The sequence below is a fragment of the Homo sapiens genome, chromosome 3 (assembly GCF_000001405.40).
Source record: "Homo sapiens chromosome 3, GRCh38.p14 Primary Assembly".
Classification (NCBI taxonomy): Eukaryota; Metazoa; Chordata; class Mammalia; order Primates; family Hominidae; genus Homo; species Homo sapiens.
In genome coordinates this window covers 146,138,130-146,161,184 of record NC_000003.12, presented here as the reverse complement: position 1 = coordinate 146,161,184, position 23,055 = coordinate 146,138,130, and the positions used below count along the sequence as shown (strand labels likewise).

The 23,055-nt window shown below is 37.5% G+C and overlaps 1 protein-coding gene across 3 annotated transcripts in view; it reads left to right on the top strand.

The window, feature by feature from the left end:
- Nucleotides 1–23,055, top strand: part of PLOD2 (procollagen-lysine,2-oxoglutarate 5-dioxygenase 2) — a 91,745-nt gene continuing 68,690 nt past the window's right edge. For all 3 annotated transcript variants that reach the window (NM_000935.3, NM_182943.3, XM_047448320.1), the window contains exon 1: nt 1–304. In NM_000935.3, coding sequence (NP_000926.2) covers nt 196–304 — 109 coding nt within the window. In that variant the 5' untranslated portion in view covers nt 1–195. The remainder of the gene's footprint in view (nt 305–23,055) is intronic.

Genomic DNA, 23,055 nt, shown 5'->3' with positions numbered 1-23,055 from the left:
GCTGCTCCGTGCCTCCACCGACGACCTCACTCAGCTGCGTTACGCGCCGCTCCGGCTGCCGGCCGCGCGCCTTGCCCGCCGGCTCCCGCCCGCAATCGGCGGCTCAGGGCGGACCCGGGTCTCTGCGTTCTCGCGAGAAGCGCGGCGCTGCGGGGCCGTGGGCGCCTGAGCCCGCGCGGCCCTCGAGGGCCGAATATGGGGGGATGCACGGTGAAGCCTCAGCTGCTGCTCCTGGCGCTCGTCCTCCACCCCTGGAATCCCTGTCTGGGTGCGGACTCGGAGAAGCCCTCGAGCATCCCCACAGGTGAGCACCCCGCGGTCCGCCGCTGTCCCGCGAGGCTCGGCCGGCGGGGGGGCAGTTCATTCATCCACCAGCCCTTCCGCGGGGCTGGCCAGGTGAGTAGTGGGGGCCTGTCCCTCCTCTCCAGGACCGCCGGGGTCTTCCCCAGAATTGCGGTCGGGCGGCGCTGGTCCCTGGGGAAGTGTAGGGGCACCCGCCCTCGTTGACTCCTTGGAGTTCTCGGTGAACTCAGCGTGCCCGAATTTCCCTGCAGAACAAGTTGGAGTTTCCTTTTGGACTTGCAGGTCATGGGCACCAACACCTTTCCTGCAGCTCTCCTTTCCCCTCCTTTCCGAGAGTTGGCATGGATTTATCCTTGATGGACGAGGCAGTACTCCTTCTGTGACCTAAACACGGGGCTTAGTGTACTTTCTAATTGATGGTGACACATTCCTTCCAGCACCCCAGGAAGCAGCCGGTAACACCTCCCTCTTGCCAAAAACAACGCTCGCTCGAAAACCTTAGTTGTTTTCAGTAAGGCTGCCTGGCTACCCAGTACCTCCAGGCGGCAGCTTTCTTCCTTTGGGATCTGAAGGGGAAGCTGTGGACACACAGCTGCTCCCCTTACCTACCCTTTTCTTGAGCCCGGTGCTGTCTCTCGTTTTCAGAAGCTGTGTAAAACAAAACGTTTTATATTTAGCCAGATTAAAGAGAGTTTCACCACGTCTGTCTAAACATGCTTTGCTGCCTTTTGTGGCACATGAAAAATCCTTGGAGTTTTCCACATTTGTGCTCTTTGTGCTCAACTCTCTGAAATTAGATCTTGCATTTAAATGACCTTCTAATGTCCTTTTTGTTTTGTTTTGTTTTTTGTTAAGTCATCTTGGCACCATTTTTTCCCCCAAGTTTATAATAGAGTGCTTTTCTACTTGAACTTTTCTTAAGCCTAAGGACAGAAATTTCTATTTCAGAGTTACATTCAGAAAGTGACATTTGGTTTGCAGTCCAGCTAATCCATGTAGCGATAGTTTTGTCTTCATCTTTAAGTGTTTCAGAAAGCGTCAGCAGGCTGAACTGCCTATCTTTCTACAAAACAGTGCTTGCTTTGTTAGCTTGAGAAACTTCAGCATTCAGATGGATTTCTATCAGTTACAGGATGCTTTTCTTTCTGTTAGGTATATGTGACCATTTAAAAATGGATTTCTGAACCCGTGTGATTCCTCTAAATTTGAACTAAACTTTTGCATAATTTAAAAATATTTCTTCTAACATAATATCTGGAAAGTAGAAAGTAAATACTTTCAGCAAATTTGGAAGTAGAGAAATTTAAAAAGGAAAAACAGAACAAAAAGCCTTCCCCAGAAAAATGTCTTTCTTTGTTGAAACACCCAAGGAGACTTTAACTGGGAAATAAAATAACCTCTAAGGACTTTGTAATATTTAGAGAGGCCTCTTTGGCCTTTGTATATTTTATTCCACTTCATTGCCAACACCCCTAACTTTTTAATAGAGGACATCCCTTTGTATCTGCCTTTATATTTATAGTCAAAATCAAATTCCCTTCTCACTCTGGATTTTAAATTTCATGGAACTGGACAGTAAACTTTTAATGGATTGTGATATCAGAGAAAGAGAATTTTAGGTATGAAAGTTTCCTCAGGAAACGACCACATGAAACCCACTGTTTAAATCTGAGGACTGGTCACTTGGTAAGCAGGCATGGAGAATTCGGTTAGGGTCGAAATGTGGGAAAATACTAATTTGTGATAGGTGAAGCCAGCAGTAGTCAGTTTGATTACAAATTTCGGTGTAGGTAGGTGTTCTCATAGGTTATGTGATAAACTAATAAATGTAGAGGTAAACTGCTTGATAAAGTGGGCAGAATCATGGACTGTGGTCTATTTTATTCTTTACAAGTTTCAACTGAAAATTACTAAATAGAAGCTTATTCGTTGACATAAATATCAAGATCTTCTATAGGACCCTAAATTGTCTAGCTTAATAGTTCTTTAAGAAGAGTGCTTATCATCTCTAACCCTGTATATTTGTCAACATGTCCCAGCTAACCAAGAAGAAATGGTTTAAATCACAATTTCTTGGCCCTATTGACATTTTGAGCCAGACACTTCTTTGCTTTGAGGGACTATCCTGTGCATTGATGTTTAGCAGTATCCTTAACCTCTGTGCACTAGATGCCAGTAGTATAACCTTTCTAATCTGAGCACCAAAAAAACAAAAAAGGCCTAATGTCCCCAGAGGGACAAAATTGCCCAGGGTTAAGAATCCCTGGATTAGACTAATCTATTTGTATTTGAGGCAATATGGCATTATAGTGTTACTGGAATGATAACAGCAAATTATTTTTGAAAACAAATATTTATAGTGATTTTCAGTTTACCCACTGTAGTTGGGAATGTGATACACATTCATCAATTTTTGGAGTGTAGTTTTTCCTAGCTCTGGTGCTTTGTTGACCAGAGTTGAGAACATAGATTTTTGTTAAATTTTTGAGAGTTCTGTGTGCTGTATTGATTCCTTTTGGTTGCCACTTTATTCTTAGCATGGAAAGACTAAATAAGATTTTGGCTAAAATAATCATTTTCTCTGAAAATAACGTATAGGAATTGTTACCTGAAAATTATATCCTTATGGGAGCTTTCAGAGGCAGAACCTTCTTAATCAGTGCCAGTAAATCAGGTTCATACCCTGATTTATCTTTCCTGCCCTTTCTGCCTTCTAGATGGGATAAGGAGAAGGTGGATGTATTCCTGCCAAGTCTTTGCCGTCATGTCTCCAGACCTGGATAAAATTTGTGTGTGTTTTCTGAGGCACCTTACTATTCTATGATCCAAACTGGGCAGAAACCAAGTTTTGGGCAAAAACAAAGGAAATGGTTTCAAATGTTTCTGTCAAGACCAGTATTTTTGTACCACATTCATTCATTTATAAACTCTCTAATTTACTGTGGTACATTCAAGGAAAAAAGGAAAGGTTTGTCCCTATCTACTGATGCAAACCAGCAATTTATGGGGTGGAGAGGAAAAGAGCAAGGGCCTGGAGAAACCTCTGGAAGAGAGAGGGTCTTGTCCTCTGTACTTTCTGTATTCTGTGCTTCAGCCACACAGAATGACATATCATCCATAAACAGACTGTGCCTTTTATTTCACATGACAACAGACATATAAAACTACTATAGAGAATGTGAAGACAAGAAATGAAAATTAAATTGAGCTACCCTTTTCTATCCAACACATGGGACAAAGCATCTTAAAATAAACTCTGATTGTACCAAATGTCAGGATGGGAATTGACCGTTGATGGAAGCACAGTGTCTTTGGAGAACAATTTAATAATATCTACTGGAATTGAGAATCCGCATGTCCTGTAATCCTAGATATGTGCATGAATAGCACTCTCAAATTTCTGTTCCTTCCTTTTTAGTTTTTTGAAATCCTGTTTATTGTTTAAGTCTAGCTCCTAGGAAATTCTTCTCCTGGCTATTTTTGTTTGGTTCTTTTTATTTTTAACTTCTTAATGTAGCTGGTTTATACAAATCATATTTACTTTGTACTATAGGTCCTTATGTTTAATAAATTGTAAACTCTTCAAAGTGAAGGGCTGAGTTTTATTCATTTTTATGCTCTTCAGTATCTACACTGTTGTTTTGCCACAGACATTCTCAGGTTTTGCTTACTGAGTTTCTGGCCTGTTCTGAGAATTATGAAAAGTAGCGTGCAGTCAATGAGGTTGCTAGTTTCTTCTTCCCCCAGAACTTTATCTGAATTCACTGAGCTTCCTTTCTCTGCTTGGGAACCCATATGCTACATGATTTAACAGCTTAGAAGTGAAATATCTGCTGCCTTGTTTCTGAACCATGTTTGGCAACCCTTCTCCACGGGTTGTATTTCCCGCTTTACCTGCTTTACTCAATACAAAGTGGCACCTTCACTATTACTTTCAGGTAGTTGGGTGCCATAATTTTTTTTATTGGTGGTGAAATGGAGATTTGGGATGGTTACATACCTTGCACAAGCTCACATAGGTGGAAAGCAGTAGAAGAGGGGCCTGTGCCCCTTCTTCAGGCTGTGCTTGTCTTTCCTGACCTCATAATTGTTCTCTTGGACTTTTGGGACCTATGAGAAAGAAACAGAAACTGGCCATCAGTGACTTAGAGAAACAAAAGGAAAGCTTTGCTAAAAGGGAAAAGGCATAATTTGCAGGTTATGTAAAAGGAGGAGAAAGGAGTAGGCACAGGCTGAAGGAAAACTGGGCCCTAGGCCAGAGTGGTAAATTATGGCCCATAGGCCAAATCTAGCAGACCCCAAACAGCTACCTGTGTTTGTGTGGTCTGTGAACTAACAGAGATGTTTACATTTTTAAATGGTTGAAAAATATCAAAAGGAGAATAATATATTATGAAACATGAAAATTATATGAAATTAAAGTTTTATTGGCTCTCAGCCACATTCATTTGTTTACTTATTGTCTGGCTGCTTTGGTGCTACAAGGCAGAGCTGAGTAGTAGTTACAGAGACTATGAGGCCTGCAAAGTCTGAGATATTGACTAGCTGGTCCTGTACAGAAAAACTTTGCCGAACCTTGCCTTAGGAGATGACATTCCCACTTAAGTTGTGGCTCATGCCGATCTGCTGCTCTGTGGGAAGGAGCTGGCTTCTGGACAGTAGCAGCTGGCTCTGGGCATTTCAGAGACCTGTTTTTCATTTTAGAATTTGCCGGTGATTCCTGTGGTGTTTTGCGTTCAAACATAGAGTTTCTCTGTTACATCTTTTTAAACACAGCACTTGAAGCTATCAAGACATGTTCTTTGGTGTAAGTAGTGTTCTCATGATCAAAAATGAATTAAAAACACTGATGGCTAGTTGGAAAGGAGATGCATATTTCTTCTTCAGAGCTTGAGTATATTCTAGAAATTTGTTCTAGAAACCTGGTTATGAATTTGTGGCTGAGCTCCTGGGAGGAAATAATTAGCACGTTTATCAATGAGTATTTTTATTTTTCTTTAATCATTGCTATAAATTAGGCTAAACTGAGAATTTGGTGGCTTTTAAAATGACATATTCTTTTTAATTTACATCTTACTCATTTGCATTTGTTGTAGAATGCTTGCCTCCCCAAACTGAACTGAACAGAACTAATTTTCTTTCTTTTTTCTTTTTTTTTTTTTTTTTTGAGACAGAGTCTCGTTCTGTCGCCCAGGCTGGAGTGCAGTGGCGTGATCTCGGCTCACTGCAACCTCTGCCTCCCGGGTTCAAGCAATTGTCTGCCTCAGCCTCCTGAGAAGCTGGGATTACAGGTGCCCGCCACCATGCCCAGCTAATTTTTGTATTTTTTTTTTAGTAGAGATGGGGTTTCACCATCTTGGCTAGGCTGGTCTTGAACTCCTGACCTCGTGATCCAACCCCCTCGGCTTCCCAAACTGCTGGGATTGCAGGTGTGAGCCACCGCGCCTGGCCAATGAAACTAATTTTCAAAGCTATTGAGATTGCAGTTAAAAATAGTTATCTAGAATAGTAGAATTATAGAGACTGTTATTTAATTAATTAATTAATTAATTTATTTATAGACAGGGTCTCACTCTGTAGGTCAGGCTAGAATGCAGTGACGCTATCATAGCTCACTACAGCCTGAAACTGCTGGGCTCAGATGATCCTGCTTATCACCTCAGCCTCCCAAGTAGCTGGGACTGCAACTCTGTTGTTGTTATCTTTATTCTGCTTACCACCTTAAAGCCTACATGTTGCAACCCATATTTGGTAATTACACTACTAAAGATGGTGCAGCAGTACAGAATTGATTACTGCCCGACTGTGTCACAAAGATACCTCTTCAAAAAATAGTTTATAATTTAAAAATGTAGTATCTTCAAATAAGTTTTTGTTTTCAGAGTAACTTTACAAGCAATTCAAAGAGCAAAGATACATCGTTTTTATACACAAAAGGAAGATTTTCATTACAGATTTTCTTTTGTGTATTAAAAGAGGGAAGTGTACTTTTGTTAATTTTAATTTGGTTTTCTTCAAAACAATACAATCAGGTTTATGCATTTACATACTTAGTTACTGATTGACTCATGCATTTTTTTCAGGCCTTGATTGTTTTAGTAGCACATTGTGGCAGATTTAGGAAAATAAAAATCATTTTAAAATTTCTATTAAAATATGGATATACTCCCCCTTTCTTGAATTTATTTCTTAAAGGAGATGTGATTAAGTGAGAAAATGCTTAATTTGTTAGTGTGGAAATATGCTTCATGTTTACAATTTCTTTTCCGCTATAAGAAATTAGGTTTAAAGTTTAGTTTGTATAGGTTTGTAATTAAATTTTAACCAGGAAAAAATCTATAAATAGCAACTGGATAACCTTTGCTCTTCATTTCAAGAGCAATTAACACTAACTTTTTTTTTTTTTTGCTGTTCTTTTTTATTATTAGTCTTCTCACAAGGGAGTATCAGTTTCTGTGCAAGTTCATGAGTGATGGGGATACTCCCCAGGCATTATCAATACAGAAGTGACAAGGTATACTACATTGGAGTGTCCTTTCCTTTTTTGGTTGAAGAACTACTGTATTTATAATAAAAATCTACACCAGAAGTTTAAAGAAAAAACCGTATTTCAAGTTTGAATACAATAAAGAACATGATTATTACTGTAAATATACTCAATAGACTTTTAATACAAATAAAAGTCTTGGTGAACATATGGCTAAAATGAGGGGCTACTTGAGGCAGGAAAGTGGTCAGGAAAAGTGTTTCATATAAACATTGGTGAATTTTCAAAAATGGGCCAGAGTTGAAATTAAATATCATTTGTTACACTGATAGTTTATTGATTTTAATATTGCTTTTATTATCTTGTGTGCATAAGACATCCTGGTGCATTAACTAATCATCTGCTCATTTAATTTGGGGTTATATTCTCAAATTTTTACAAAGAACTTTCTCATTTGCTTTCTAGTTACTGCTAACCTATTTTAGGGTTCCTTCCAAACGGTAGGTGAGAGATAGGACTTTCCTCTGATTTAAATGCTGTTTTTCTTATCTTTTTTTTTTTTTTTGTGCTGTGGACAGGTAAAAATTCTTTATGGAACAAAGGAATTTTCAAGTACACATAATTTTTATTGTTCTTGACAGTACTCCTGGTCAGTCTCGGACACTCAAGTGCAGTAAGGAGATACTGAATATGCATCATGCTCCACAGCTTGACCCTCCCACAGGCACAGCAACAAGCGAAATAGATATGTGGATTTTGGCAACCTTGGCTTTGTGATGCTAGGGCATCGATCTGGCCTGGGAGAAGAAAAGCTCCAGAAGCTATACTTTATTCCAGAGCCCCAGCACACAGTGTCTCATAGGCAAGGCTGCTCTGTCATTGACTATTCTGTTTTAAATGGTTTGAAGCCACAACTTTTGTGGGCTTTCAGGTGCGAAATACTTAACAGATGCTGCACACAGGGCTAAGAAGGGGGCCAGTAACATTTAGGTCTTTTAAAATGCATTCTCTAACAGGTTCTTTAAACATTTAAATCTTTCCTTCCTGTTTCTAGCAATGTACTAAACACCAACAGCTATCTCATCTTTAAAAATTCTGCAAATACAGAATTTAAATTATTTCTTTTTGAAAAAAGGAACCAGCTAACAGTTTGCTGGTAGACTAAAATGATCTCCATAATGTGATCACCTGGGGAAGTCTTAGAGCGCTGTTGTTATGAAGAGGGCGGATGGGTTCTTTGATGGGATTTTCCGGTCTTGTCCAAGCCAGCTCTGAGGCACCTTGTCTTCAGAGGCCTCTTCTCCTGCTCTGGCTATGCTGGTTCTTTCCTGGCCTCCAGCTGGCACCACAGTGGTGACCAGAATGCCCTGCTGGTCCAGGGCCTCTGGAATTCCTGCCGGCCACGTCTAGAGAAGGACAATCCTCCTTTTCTTCTTAGTTTAGTTTAGACAAGGTTGGAATTTTTTAAACAGTGACTTTACTAAGTAACCAAGGGCAAAACAAAACAAAACCTCACACTGGAAAATCACCGAAGCAAAGAAATGAACAGACTTACAAAGCAGAGATTCAGAGTTCTTACTCTTCTCTGACTTTGGTATAGTTCTGTATTGAAATTCTAAGATTCTTGCAGGGAAAATAATGTATATATAAAACTGAGCAAATCAAAGAAGCACTTATGGGTAAGCAACCTGGATACCTGCACACCCAGCACATTTTGAGGGTTCATGAATTCTGTGTCCTTGTCCAGCGTTTCTTTCTCCCCTCTTCACTCTCATTCCTCACTTCTTCCTACCACTTTCTTTTACACAGATGACTCTTCTCCATGATTGGAGTCCATGAGATCCATGGGTAGACAAGTGGTAATAGATGGTCTAGGTATATTTGTCATTTCTTAGGGACATATTACATTACATATTAGCATAACTGTAGCCATTGGACACTTAATTTTCTTCACTAGATAGAATTTTTTTTTTTTGAGACGGAGTCTTGCTCTGTCGTCCAGACTGGAGTGGAGTGGTGCAATCTCGGCTCACTGCAACCTCTGCCTCCCGGGTTCAAGCGATGCTCCTGCCTCAGCCTCCTGAGTAGCTGGCATTACAGGTGCGTGCCACCACGGCCAGGTAATTTTTGTATATTTAGTAGAAACGGGGGTTTCACCATATTGGTCAGGCTGGTCTTAAACTCCTGACCTCAGATGATCCACCTGCCTCAGCCTCCCAAAGTGCTGGGATTACAGGCATGAGCCACTGCACCTGGCCAATAGGTAGAAAATTTTTATGCTGTTGCCCATGACTATTTTTGTATTGCTTTAATTCTTGATTTTAGTAGCAGTTTGTGTATGCTTTTATAAACCTATATAATTTAGTAAATCTACATTAGTTTATTTAGCTAAGCTTTACAAATTCCCTCATAATACAACTTTTTTAGAGGTAACTAACAGCATTGTAAATTTTTAGATGCAAATGTATGCCAACAATAATTCCCATTGTGTAATACTGTGAAATTTTGGTAATTAATATTTTAAAAAATAATTGGAGTATTTATTGACTGGCTAGTCTGTGTTCTGTTGCTTTGTGTGAAGGAAAAACAGAAAAAACAAACCAGAATGAACAAACAAAAACCACACAAGGCTCAGTTCCTGTTCTGTATTGAAATTCTAAGATTCTTACAGGGAAAATAATGTATGTATAAAACGGAGCAAATCTGAGAAGCACTTACGGGTAAGCAACCTGGGCTGCAGGGAAGAACACACACATCTGGCATCAGGAAACCTACATCTAAGTTCTCATCCTTCCACTCACCAACCTTGAGCCGATTCTTGAGCCTCGTCAGATTTTACTTGTAATTTGTGATCCTTACAGTGCTGTGATTTGATGTCTCTTGACTTTTTTTTTTTTGAAACGGAGTTTCGTTCTTCTTGTCCAGGCTGGAGTGCAATGGCGCGATCTTGGCTCACTGCAACCTCCGCCTCTCGGGTTCAAGCGATTCTTCTGCCTCAGCCTCCTCAGTTGCTGGGATTACAGGCATGCGCTACTATGCCCTGCTAATTTTGTATTTTTAGAAGAGACCGGGTTTCTCTATTTTTGTCAGGCTGGTCTTGAACTCCCAACCTCAGGTGATCCGCCCACCTCAGCCTCTTGAAGTGCTGGGATTACAGGCGTGAGCCACCGTGCTTGGCCAATGTCTCTTGACTTTTAAGTGTCAGAATGGTGGTAGAGACAGAGTGCTGCAGGAATCAGAAAAGAGGTCTCAAGAAAACTTACTATTATTTGTTAGGCCAAAGAAGGCATAGATATAAGGTTGTTTTGTGTTTTAAATTCTACTTTTTCTACTGGTTGTTGTATCAAGATCTGGACTTGGCCAGGACTTGGTGTTGCTTTTTTCTCTTAATTAGCTTTTGATTTAGATGCAGGACAGTAGGCCAAGAATAACTAGAATTAAATTTACATTTAAAAAGGTTCCAAGTGTTTTTATATGAGAAGAGAAAACAAGTCTGGTGTTTTTATGAAGCTATTTTCTGTTTTCAGAGAGGAACCGTATCCTCTTCAGTACATTTAAATATTGTATGCTGTTAAAAAAATAAACTTATATTCATCTGTTTCAGTCCTGACCTTTAAGTCAAATAAATTAATAACAATTATGCTGGTAACTTTTTTTTTTAACTTTTATTTAGGGTTCAGGGGTACATGTGACGGTTTGTTACACAGGTGAACTCATGTAATGGGAGTTTGTTGTACAGACTATTTCATCACCCAGGTATTAAGCCCAGTACTCAGTAGTTATCTTCTTTGCTCCTCTGTCTCCTCTCACTGTCACCCTTAAGTTGAGCCCAGTATCTGTTGTTCCTTTCTTTGTGTTTATGAGTTCTCATCATTTAGCTTCCACATATAAGTGAGAATATTCGGTATTTGGATTTCTGTTCCTGTGTTAGTTTGCTAAGGATAATAGCCTCCAGCTCCATCCATGTTCTCGCAAAAAACATGATCTCATTTTTTTTTTAATGGCTACGTAGAAGTTAAAACGAAGTTTTATGGTATGTGCTACTTAAAAATTGGGGACCCTTTTCTAACTTGTTACATAAATAGTCATCAGAATACCTAGATTCAACTTTTGGATTCATTAATTATCTTTAAAATATGATTGCATTTAGTGAACTGAAAACATGGCAAATAAAAACGAAATCAGTTTGTGGGAGCAAAGTATTTATGTGCATACGTATATGTGTATATGTGTATGTACACATTTGTGTTTACTAGCCATGGAGGTTATTGTTGAGCCTTAAGAAAGGAATAGAAAGTATGAATACATTTTAATCTGGACTTCTTTGATATCTTGCTAGGTCATTGTCACAGCAGCATTTGTTCTACATGTGTTTGCATCTTTAGAATGGAGCATATCTAGTGAGTGGTACACTCTGAGACTTAATCCTTGGAGAAGATGGTGGTGTGCACTGCTTTTTTTTCTGGCTATTTTTCCTACTGTTTCCAGGTGGATTTTATGTAAATTGAAGGAAGCAGTTCAAGCAGAACAACTGGAAGGGAAAGAGTGTGACTTAATTTTAAAAACATATATAGTTACTTATACAGTTGTTTTTTACGTGTAAGATTAGCAAATATTAACAGAAGTATTTAGCCTGGGTGTTGGTTTTGGAAATTAACTGTTATTTATTGAATAAGCAAATAAATACCAGTAGCTGAGTCTTTTGTACAGTATATTAGGTTGAAGAAAAATTTGGTTTATTAAAATGATAAACTTTTATCTTATTAATATCACTTGATATTTTATGTTCCTCAAGCATAAACATATTTTTTTAAAAAATGAAGTATTACATTTTAAACAGCAAGTAAATATCCTAAAAAACCGGGCTCCTTCTCACTGAATGGCTGTGTTACACCAGTACTGTCAGCTCCATGGGTTATGGCAGAGTGGATAAGTGAGATTTTTTTTTCATGTTGAGATAAAAGATAAACTAAGAAGTCTACTTTTGAACCATAGACACAAACTTAAAAAATAACTATAATTGATAATTATATCTGATTTTCTATAACCAGATTTAAATTCTTTATTGATGCAAGACATGAATTTTTCTTAATAATTCTCAGAATATCCCACACTTAAATTAGTTTAAAAGCATATTTGGTTTGTAGAAACTTCTTTCGAAAAAGAGTCCTATTCAGTTTGAAGAGGTGATGGGAGTGAGAGGGTCAGTGAAATAGAGGAAGGGAAGTTGCTTTTAAGTGTGGTACAAAATTACAAAATATGTGACTTGAATGAGTTCACAATTAATTCAGAAAAATCTGAACTAGAAGCCACTGCTGAGTGCTGGCAAGGGAAATTATGCTTATGTAAAATGTGACACTGAATTCTTCCCTGAACAGAAATTTGGTTTGGGTAGTTTCATCCTTGGGATTTATTTCTGTGGATTATGCTTATTGTGGTTGTAGCATTTCATATTAACCGTAACAAATGGAATATCCCAGCCATTCTTTGCATGCTATGACTTTCAGCCTATGGTCCAGTGTGCATGGACCCTCTTGCAACATATACACTGAGACAGTGTATAGTGCTGAATTTGTTTTTTATTTGGTTTCAGGAAGTCAGCTGGTTACTTCAGTAATCAGCAGAGATTCAGAAATATAGATGTTGTAATATTATGCAACCATGGATGTGTTTTATATCACTTGGTATTTCTGATAAATTGAGGTACAAGTCTGTTGTGCTTTGAATTATTGGAGAGTTGTGTTATTTCCTCTTTTATTATGATTAAGTGTATTACAAAGAATTTGAGGATGATGTTTTTAAAATACTAGGGTAAATGCAGAAACAGTACAGAGGAGTGTTTGCTTTCTTGATATAGCCAGAGGGCGCTCACTATACAAGGAGACTAGAGACCTCTAACTTTGAACTTCAAAACTTTGAAGTCATTTTTTTCTCATTCCTCTGATTTATTCTTCGTATTTAGGTATAGTGCTTTGCTCATTATTTTGTCTCTGTCTTTTTTTGTTTGTTTCATCTGTAGTGAAAAGTGTGTGTGTGTGTGTGTGTGTGTGTGTGTGCGTGCCTGCCTGCCTGCCTGCCTGTATAAATAATTAGATATCTATTAGATATTTGAAACGGGTAAAGATTATTTTTAACATGATCTTAATATTGTTATTGCATTCAACAGTGATTCCTTAATGTTATTTAATACCTATCCAAATTCACCTTTGCCTCTTTTTCTCAAGTATGTCTTTTTATAGTTGGTTTGTTTGATCCGGATCCATAAATTTATCTTCCTAAACACCTTCCAAGCTGTCACTTACCTTAGTCTACACTGCAGGACTCTGGTAGCTTCAGGGTCAAATCTAGCCTAAATATTGTTTTTCAAAAGCCTCAAATTAAGTTCTATGTTTCAGGAAATTTTACTTAAAAATCAGAATCTTTCTTGTTTTGGAGGAGAAAAAAGGAAAAGAAGGCCTGGAAACCCTGGGTTTTCCTTCCCGTATGGCAACAACAGCTGGCTGACTCTGAGAAGTCCTCTCCTTGGATGGGGTGCTTGTGCACTCCAGTCACCATAGCAGGTGCCTGGCCTCTTCACTGATGTGTTTGCAGCCCCCTCTCTGTATACATCACTGAATTAGATAATTATCATTGTTTCTGAAATTATTTTTCTTGTCTCATCTTTCTTAAGTCCAGTGACTCTTCGCATGCTATGACTTTCAGCCTATGGTCCAGTGGTTTTGTCCCCCCTGGAATATTTGGTAACGTCTAGAGACATTTTGTTTTGAGCAGTGGGTGCTACTTGCATCCTGTCGGTTGAGTCCAGGGACCCTGCTAAAGTGTCCTGCATTACACAGCATGACCCCATCACTCTCTCCCAGCCCCACCCCAAGAAAGAATTATCTGGCCCCAAATGTCAATAGTGCTGAAGTTGGGAAACTCTGCTACAGTCTGATGGCACACTTCTAATTTCACTGCCCCGCTTCTAGTGTCTTCTCTATTTCCAAATGTATTTATTATCATTTCCCAATTTGCACTCTGTTCATACTGGATTCCTCACTATCCAGTCAAGAGATCATGCTTTTACACATCTTTTGGAGGAGGGGGGATTATATTTCCAGGTTCCTTGACTGTGAAAATACTGTCTGTCATTTTTTAAGGCCTGAACATAGATATATTAAGTCTTATATTCTAGTGATTTTTTTGTAGATTTTTATTGTTCCTTCAATGTTGAACTCCTACAGTATTCTCTGCAAATATATAATCTGTGATTTAAATTAGTATTTAGTATGTTATTCTCAGTCTTTTCATATGAACTAACTTTACATTCTTAGTTGGATTTTAACCTGCAAGAGGATAGAGATCGTATCTCTTGAATTGCTGTGCCTTAGAACTCCCAACCTCGGAAGCTTCTCTGCCTATAGGCCTTACAGAGGGATAGTCCATTAACCCATGGCTTGCCCTAGTCACAACTAACAAGATAAGCAGGAACCCTATGTTGGTCAGGGTTCTATTCAAACGAAGAACCCATTTTAGATATCTTGAGCAAAAACAGATTTAACAAAAGTAATTACAAGCTTATACAATTACTGGAAAGCCTGGAAGAATGGGCTTTAGCAAAACTTTCAGCAGTGACTTCTAGAATAGCAGAAATAGCTGACCAAACTAGGAGGCTACTACCTCTGTCCCAGCGGGGAATCAGGAGCCCACCATTGGAAGTATTGAATTCAGAAATAGGCTTCCATAAATGTAACCCAGGGATGGAGAAGCTGTCTCTGTTGATTCCTTATGCCCATGAGGCAGTGACTATACCAACAATGCAGAATTCAGCCACAGCCTTTGCTGCTGTCCATATGTCTGTCTGTCTCTCTGCCTCTCTCTCTCTTTCTCTCCCTCTCCGTCCACCCGCCCTCCTCCCCAGTTCCCACAAAGTGTGAGATTGACCCTAGAACACTGGTGTAGGGTAAACCGTATCCTTCTGACCATGCTTACCAATGGAAATGGCCAAAAGTGATAGGGATAGGACCATCTGTTTTTCAAATCTCACAGGAATACATCTTAGAGGAGGGGTATAATTTACATCCAAATGTTTAGCTCCAAAGAACTTGGAGAAATGCACCTTTAATATTTGATTTTCTCATGACTTTTTCAGTAATTGTTCTTCCTGAAGCTTGGCAAAGCATTAAATTATTTTAAATTTTTATGGATGTTTTTGACAATAGGGACCCAAGTAAGGGCTTAGCATTACATGAAATACATGCTTTTTAACGTGGAGCTCTATTATAAAGTTCTAAGCATGTTGAATACTTTGTCAGCTTTTAAGAAGACCAATTTCTAATAAAGTCATGGGAAAAAAAGAAACTTATGAAATAGAGGCAACTAAGTAATAGAAATTTATGTCCCCTCACCATCCTTATTGTTTTGAGGCCAGTGGATTGTAACTTTTATGGAAGAGACGGCATGGTACAACTTAATCCTAATTACAATTTTATGATATTTGTTTGACTTATTCATTCATTTCTTATTTACTAGTGCTCTTATTTTATACAGCACCCTATAACTTTCAGTAAATTCTTAGCTGACTAGTGTCACTTTTCTGAGATAAAAGTGGGGCTTACTCACAGCTTCTGGATTTTGATAATGTCAGTAATAAAATTCTGGCTCATTAAGGAAGGAAGGATTTAATTTGACTCAGCCTTTTAAAAATTCATGATAACAAAAGTACAAAAGAAAACTTTGTGGACTACCATAACTGTACTTTCTAATTGTAAATTTATGTTTCACAATTTTTATTTGAAAGTTTGGTTTTTATGTAATTGTTTTTTACTTTTGTAGTTTCTTTGCTCGTAACAGTAACTATAGTTAAGCTTATGGCTGAAACTCCTGCTGAACAAATCTACAGAGGAGTATCTTGCATTCAAATTAGAATGTTGATCTTCCTCACATTATTTGGAGTTGGGACACCCCAACTACACATGGTATTTATTTATTTTAAAATTTCATTTGTTTTGCTCATTGTGATAATTTCAGGTGGTAGGTAGATGTACCTTAGTGTTCAAATTAACACATAGACAAAACTAGATTGGGAATGGCTGGATTAGATTAATACATGCCTATCTAGGTTTATTATGTCACCATAGCAGTTTTAGTTTTTGGTTTTGTATGTGTGTGTTTAAAATGATACAGCTAAAAACATTTGCTTTTATTTTGATGAAGACAAAAATATTTGGGGAATCTGGATTTGTTTTGGTGATATGCCTAGGATGTAGTCAGTTTAGCCCTTCAAATGACGTTTGTCATCTAAATTATTCTGAAAGCTCTAGTAAGAAATGACAGAGCTCCTATAAGAAATGTTGAAGCACCAGTAGAAATCAGTAAGAACTAGGATATGGTAGATCTAATGAAGATGGCATAACTTCGTTTAAGAGTTGTATTTTCGGTTACAATGACAATAAATGCTTGTAACTGAAAACAGAGATAGTTAAGAATAAATTTAAATTTGTCCATGAACACACTATCAATTAGTAAACAATGTAAAACACTGTGATAGTATTCATTTTTTTGTTTGTATATCTTCATGTATTTTCTTTATAAAATCAAGATATACATACATATTGATAAACAATAAAGCCACAGTTTTGTATTTGTCTTATTTACAAAATAGTATATTTTAAGCATTTCCCATGGCATTGAATATTCTTCAAGCCATGATTTTTAAGTAACATTTTTATATCTGTCACGGGATTATACCATAAGTTTTATAACCATTACCTTATTCGATATATAGCTTGTTTGCCATTTGACACTAACAAAAATAATATTGTAAGGGTATTATTGAAAATAAGTTTTGGTTTCCATTTTTACCTATTTTTATAGGAAAAGTTCATGAAACAAAATATTTAAATAAAAAGATATGTACTCTTTCTGTCTCTTGTTACATATTGTGGAGTTGATTTCCAGAAGGTTTTATGGATTTTCACTTCCACGAGCAGTGTACAAAAGGGTATGGAAATCTTGGCAAGCATTACTTTTCAAAATACTTTCTTCAAGGTTTTAGGGGAAAATAGTGTCTGATTCTCTTTATCCTCCTTTTTTATTTCTTAAATTTATAGTGATTTATTTACTTGCTAAAATATTTTTTGCCACTTCTGTTTCTTATGTGAGTTGCATATTCGTATCAGTGGTGTGTACATTCTAGTGGAGTTAGAAAGGACGGTAAACAAATGTATTGGGAAGGTATAAATCTTAAAAAGAAAAATAAAATGAGATTAGAGTGATTAGGTTGAAGAATACCATTATAAGTACTGTTTTCAGGAGATGCTTTTTATCTTTGGTTACATTTGAGCATAGAAGGGTGGAGGCTTTCTGAGAGAGGAGGATTACAGGCAGCGGGGACCACAGTATAAACGCTCTTAGCTGAGGATGTGTTTGATGTGTCTGCAGAGCAGCCAGGAGAACAGTGTGCCTGCATTAGGGACAAGGAGGGGATAGTGATGGAAGAGATCAGATTGACAGTCAAGACCAGATCTCTTAGGTACTTGGAGTGTGGACTAGGGTAAGGAGTTTGGATTTTATTGAGAACAAGAGGTAAACCCTTAAAAAAATTTGGAGAGAAACGCAAGATATGTGTGTGAATTAGAATAGGTTATTTTATCTGGACTTTTGGTTGGTGAATGTAGTACAGGCTGATTTCAGCCCCATTTTCCCCTTTAGCCTCTCTAAAGGGTGGCTGTATTATATAGTACAGTTGCTAAACTATATACATTGTGGCCCTGAATTGATAGAGTTACAGCTATATCATTCCGGCCAGTAGAAAGAAGGGATTGACAATGGCCAGGGTAGATACAGGGAAATTCTTTAAGAGATGATTTCAGTAGTCTAGGGAGAAGAGGATGGTGCCTAGGTTTAGACTACTCACAGAAAAGATGGTTAGGAGAGGCTGGATCCTGTAATGCTGATAGAATTTGTGGTCAACTTAGATGGGGAATGTGAGAGAAAAACAGGAGTTAAGGATGACTCCAAATTTTATTCTTAAAATTTTGCATCTTAGAAGTTTTAATTTGTTTAAGTCTTAACACCAATTGAGTATATACTCTACATGCTTTTTTTTTATATTCTCACTCATGTTTACATAGATTGTAAACACGAGTTACTCTGGTGACTGCTTTACTCTTATTTTAATACTTACTATTAAAACTTATAGTCTTCTTTGTGTCTGTAATGTTATCTAAATGTTTATTCAGCAGAATGCTAGTGGTGGAAAACAGGACCCTAAAAATATTTTTACAAGGGCGGTCGGAGTGTTTAACTCTAGGAAGTAGGCCAAAATAGCTGCTGTGATGCACTGAGCAGTGAGTTTGGGAAAAAGCATTCTGCAAAATGTCAGCCGATAGCATTGAAAAATAGCAGAGCTGCTTGAAGCAGATTTTTCAGTTTACAGAAATTGTGTTATAACCAAAGCATGGAAGATGGGAACAAATGGCAGGGGAAATCTGGCTACATGACTGTAAGATCAGTGCTGCTGCAGAGAGTCCCTGAGTCAGCTTTGGTTTGTACCAAGGCATCAAGTGTATTTGGTTTGACAAGAGATTGGAATGTGCTGACAATGCCCCTTTCTTATAATCTTAGGCAGTATATTACAAAGCTTTATTTTGAATGTAGCTTTTATCGTTTGTTATTTATTGTACTTAAATTATGTTTAAAGGCAAGCACTGGGATATTTGTGTGCTTAAACTTTGTTTAAGGGCAAGAACTGGAGATTTGTGTGCCTGGAACAGACCCTACTCTGCCTCCACTTTCCATTTAGGTCAGTGGGCAATTAATCTTGTAATATGAAAGGTTTCAGGTTTGTAGTGTTTTTATTGACCAACCTTTACATGAAAGTACATCTACCATGTAGCTGGAAAAAGATCCCTGATAACTTTTCTATGTACCACCCTTAGTTTTTGGAAATAGGTAAAGGAAGAAAAAGTGACAGACTGAGAATGAATAGGCAGAGAGATGGAAAAAACAGTAGAGAGAAGCACCAGGAGGGGTAGATTCATACAGCTGGATGGTGAATTTTGCACTGATTTGTTTTGCTAACTTAAAACTTGTTGGATTACATAAATTTCTATTAAAAAAGAAAACACTGCATTCGTATTAATTTAGGCATTATTTTTCTTGATGACAAAAATCTGAATAAAAAAACTAGTTCCTTTTAATAAAGGACATTAAATATCAGTAGATAATAGCTTTACTTGTAGTTTATTTAGAGATACTTTCAAGGGATAAATACTTTTCTCATCTTTTTGAAAGTTATAATTTGGCAATTGTTTTCTGACAGGAACATTTGGTTACATACAGTAGATGTATGGTTAGATACAGTAAATGATGTTTTTGCCAATTTTCTAACTCTCTGGGAACAGAAGTGGAGAATGTTGAATCCCATTCCCCTGTTACACACATTTCTTCACCTGGTGAACTCATTTGTCCTCAGTTTTAGGGCGAATTCCTCACAATTTTTTTCATAAACTTCCAATTTAAAATAACTTTCTCTGTTAAAACCTTTCATCCTCTTCGTGTTGTTGAACTTATTCTTAGTTTTACTGCAGTTTCCATTTTAAATTGTTTGTGGAATTATTTGCCACTGTCTCCCCTCACAACTGTATTGTAAGACCCATGAAGACAGGGATTGATTTTTCCAAAAATGTTTATTGAGTGACTTCCTTCCAAAAATATTTATTGAGTGCCTACTGTGTATCAACTAGGATTTGGGGATCTATTAGGTTTACATTCTCTTCAATTCCAGCATTTACTTCGTTTACCATTATGTCTCCAACATGTAGCACAGTGCCTGATAAACAGTGAATGTCAGTATCTGTTGAAAGAATAAAGATGAAAGCCCTTTGAGGAGTATTTGCAGGGCTCAAATGTGGTGTGGAGTCAGGGGTTAAATCTGTAGTTGAGGAACATGAACTTCTCCTGAGGTTGGGGATTTCTTTCCCCATCTCAATCTGAAATTTCCAACTGTCCCTGTTCTAACTTTTCTTTCAATAAAAACGAGAACTTCCTTAGTGTTAGATCCATTTTGTAAACTGCGTCTGGGGAATGTATGCAGTTTAAGTAAACTGCAAGATAAATCACAGAAGAGTTAATGCAGTAGTGATCATTTTATTAGCGGTCCACATTAATAGAATACAGCAATTTAAATTGTAATGTAGTTAACTTTGTCCTTTTTTGGGGTTGTAATTAATCTAAACATCCAGCTATTTATGTTACTTATAATTAAAGGTAGGAAAGCCATTAGATAACTCATTTGTTCATACTGTGTATTCAATTATCTGATTTATTATTTATCTAGTTTATGTACTGAGAGTACATAATAAAACTTAATAAAACCTCATAATAAAACTTATTAGGGGGCAGTAAATGAAGAAACATGTTGTGTTCTTGACAGAGCAGGTACATGGACACTCAGACATTAAAATGGAGACCAGGAAATTAAAGATCAGAAGCAGCATGTGGAAAACATTCTGTCTGGGGCCACTTATTATAGGAATAAACAGCTCTGTAGATTTAGATGTTCTGGGGAAGTACCCTATCATTGGAAAATATGGTAAGTGATCATGAGTCCTCAAGAAGAGGTTATATTTGTTTGGTATTCTTTGCTTAATTATCACATTTGACAGAATGATTTGCATTATTAACATTATTAATAGAAAGTGTTTAGAGAAAGTTGAAAGGCACCATGGTTTAATTGACTGGAATGCTTTATGACTAAAAATGCAGAGAGTAGTTTGTGAATTTTCAGGAACTGATCCTATTCTTTATTAAAGCGTATTGTGTATTTCTGAAAAAGCACACATAGTATAGTTTAATTCAGACTCTCTGAGCTGTATATACTTCTAATTATATACTAGTTTATGAAATTACTGAGTTCCTTCTACTTTGAGAAATTCTGGAATTAAGAATGAGTGAGGATTGTTGGGGAGAGGTCGTTGAAGCTGACAAAACACTGAATGCTTACCCTCGTTTCTAGGTCACAGTGAAATCAGACTTCACTGGGGAGCAGTTTTCTGATGAGGAATGTCATGAATCCTTTCAGAAATGGGAATGTCTCTGTGTTTGTCTCTGTAATGTAGAGGCATCTTGAGAGGCTGGACTTTTGATGAATTGTCATAAGAACTGACCCCATATAGCATTGGCTCAGCTTTCTAACAAGGGATTCTTATTTCCTGCTACATAAATTCCCCAAATGAAACATTGACTCTTTCAGACATAACCTGACCCAGTGCACTGGGTCATACTGGAGTATCCTGACCCTGTATGGATTTATACTGCTGAGAAAATTTAAATTGCGTTCAAAAGAGAGCTATTTTATGAACATCTACCTTAAATATGCATCTTGCTTATGACTAATTAATGCCTTGCTATGTTTTTGTGGAGCAGTCTTGAAGAACCAGGTGGCGAACCATTCATTTCTAATGTGTTGTAGCTAGGAATTAGTTGAATTTGACTGTATACGAGGTGAGGAAAGAGAAAGGGAGGAAGGCAGGGAAAGACCAGCTTTTCCACAGTGACATTCTTCAACAGTATTTTTTGCCAGCAGCTGATATTTCTTCCCTAGTGCTGTTTCAATGTGTATATTCTAAGCCTTGTAATAAATTTCTTGCTAATGACTTAAAGTGATGGCATTTGTACAGGAATGTGTAACTGTTGGCTTGATTTTATTTTACAAACTGGTTTGAAAAAGAGAGAAAATCCTCTGAATATTCATTTCTGCTTAAGTCCAGTGGAAATCTCAGTAAAATATTGGATGTGCAGAAAAGCTTTACACTTTAGGATGAGCTGCATTATTATCTTTTTCCTGCATCATAATAAAACCCTTAATCCAACATTTAGGTTGTTTGATAGTTGGCGTTTATAACGCTACCGGGGTGAGCATTTATCAAGATAAATTGTGGAGATTTGTGTTCCTTCAGGATAGGGAATGTGGCATTTAGAATTCTTATTGTTTAGAAAGTCACAGAAGATACTTTAAACATTTCTTAAAATTTTATTTATGTAACAGACTCATCTTTTCAGGTTAGATTTATGAGATAATTTGGAGTCCTTCACTACTTTAAACATTTTCTTAAAATTTTATTGATGCAGGAGACTCATCTTTTAAGATTAGTCTTATGAAATAACTTGGAATCCTTCTTCACTGCTCTTTTTCACAAACCCTGTTTAATCTGTCCATCAATGTTGTTTAGTCTGCCTTAGAAACATATTCAAATGGATGACTTTTTACCTCCTTTACTACCGTTCCTTGTCTGTATCACCATGGTCTCTAACCTAGAACACTGTTCAGAACACTCTTCAACAGATTTCCTAATTTTGTCCTTGGCCTCTCCTGTGATAGCAACCAGGGTAATCCTGTTAAACTTGAGTCAGATTATGAGATGCAGTATTGCATAGCAGTTAAGAGCACAGCCTCTGGAGCTAGTCTTTCTCGGTTCAAATATGAGCTCTGCCACTTACCATATATTTAAAGTTGGGCAACACAGTTAAATGTAATATTGGAAGAGCAGTAATACTTGGATTAAATGAATTAATAGTATCTATATGGTAGACATTGTTATTATTGTATTGTTATTACTGTTATTTTAGTAGCTATTATATCATCTCTTTACTCAGAATCCTCTACTAGCTTGCTATTACATTTGAAGTAAAAACCAGAATCTTTACAATGACCTCCTAGGCCCTGCACAGTCTATTCATTCTGACTTCTGAACTCATCTCATTTTCCCTTGCATAGTCTCTTCTGGCCATTCTGGATGCCTGCTGTCCTCCCTTTTCTTCCACTGCCAATGTATGAGGCCTGAACCCAGCCCAGTCATATTCTCTGTATTTGTTGTTTCCTTTTACTGGAAAGATGTCCCTCAAATATCTGCATAGCTCACTTCCTTTGCTTCAGGTCACCCTCTCAGTGAAACTTGGTTATGTCATCCAAGATAGCAACCCATTCAAGACTCCCTGCGACACTCTATGACACTTCGTTCTTTATCTTTAGCCCTGAAAGTTAAATGCAAATTTTTGTTTGTTTTTTTTTTTGGTTCCCTGTATTGGAATATAAACTCCATGATGGCAGAGGCTTATTTTTGGTCTCTTGTCCTGTCTTGAATGCTGAGTCTCTAGAACAGTGGCACATAGTAGGCACACAGTAACATTGAAGGAATTAGTGAACTTATGGCACCTGGTTAATTCTCTGCTCACAACCTCATGTGGTATCATCTTTCCCATGTATACCCAGTATTCTCTTA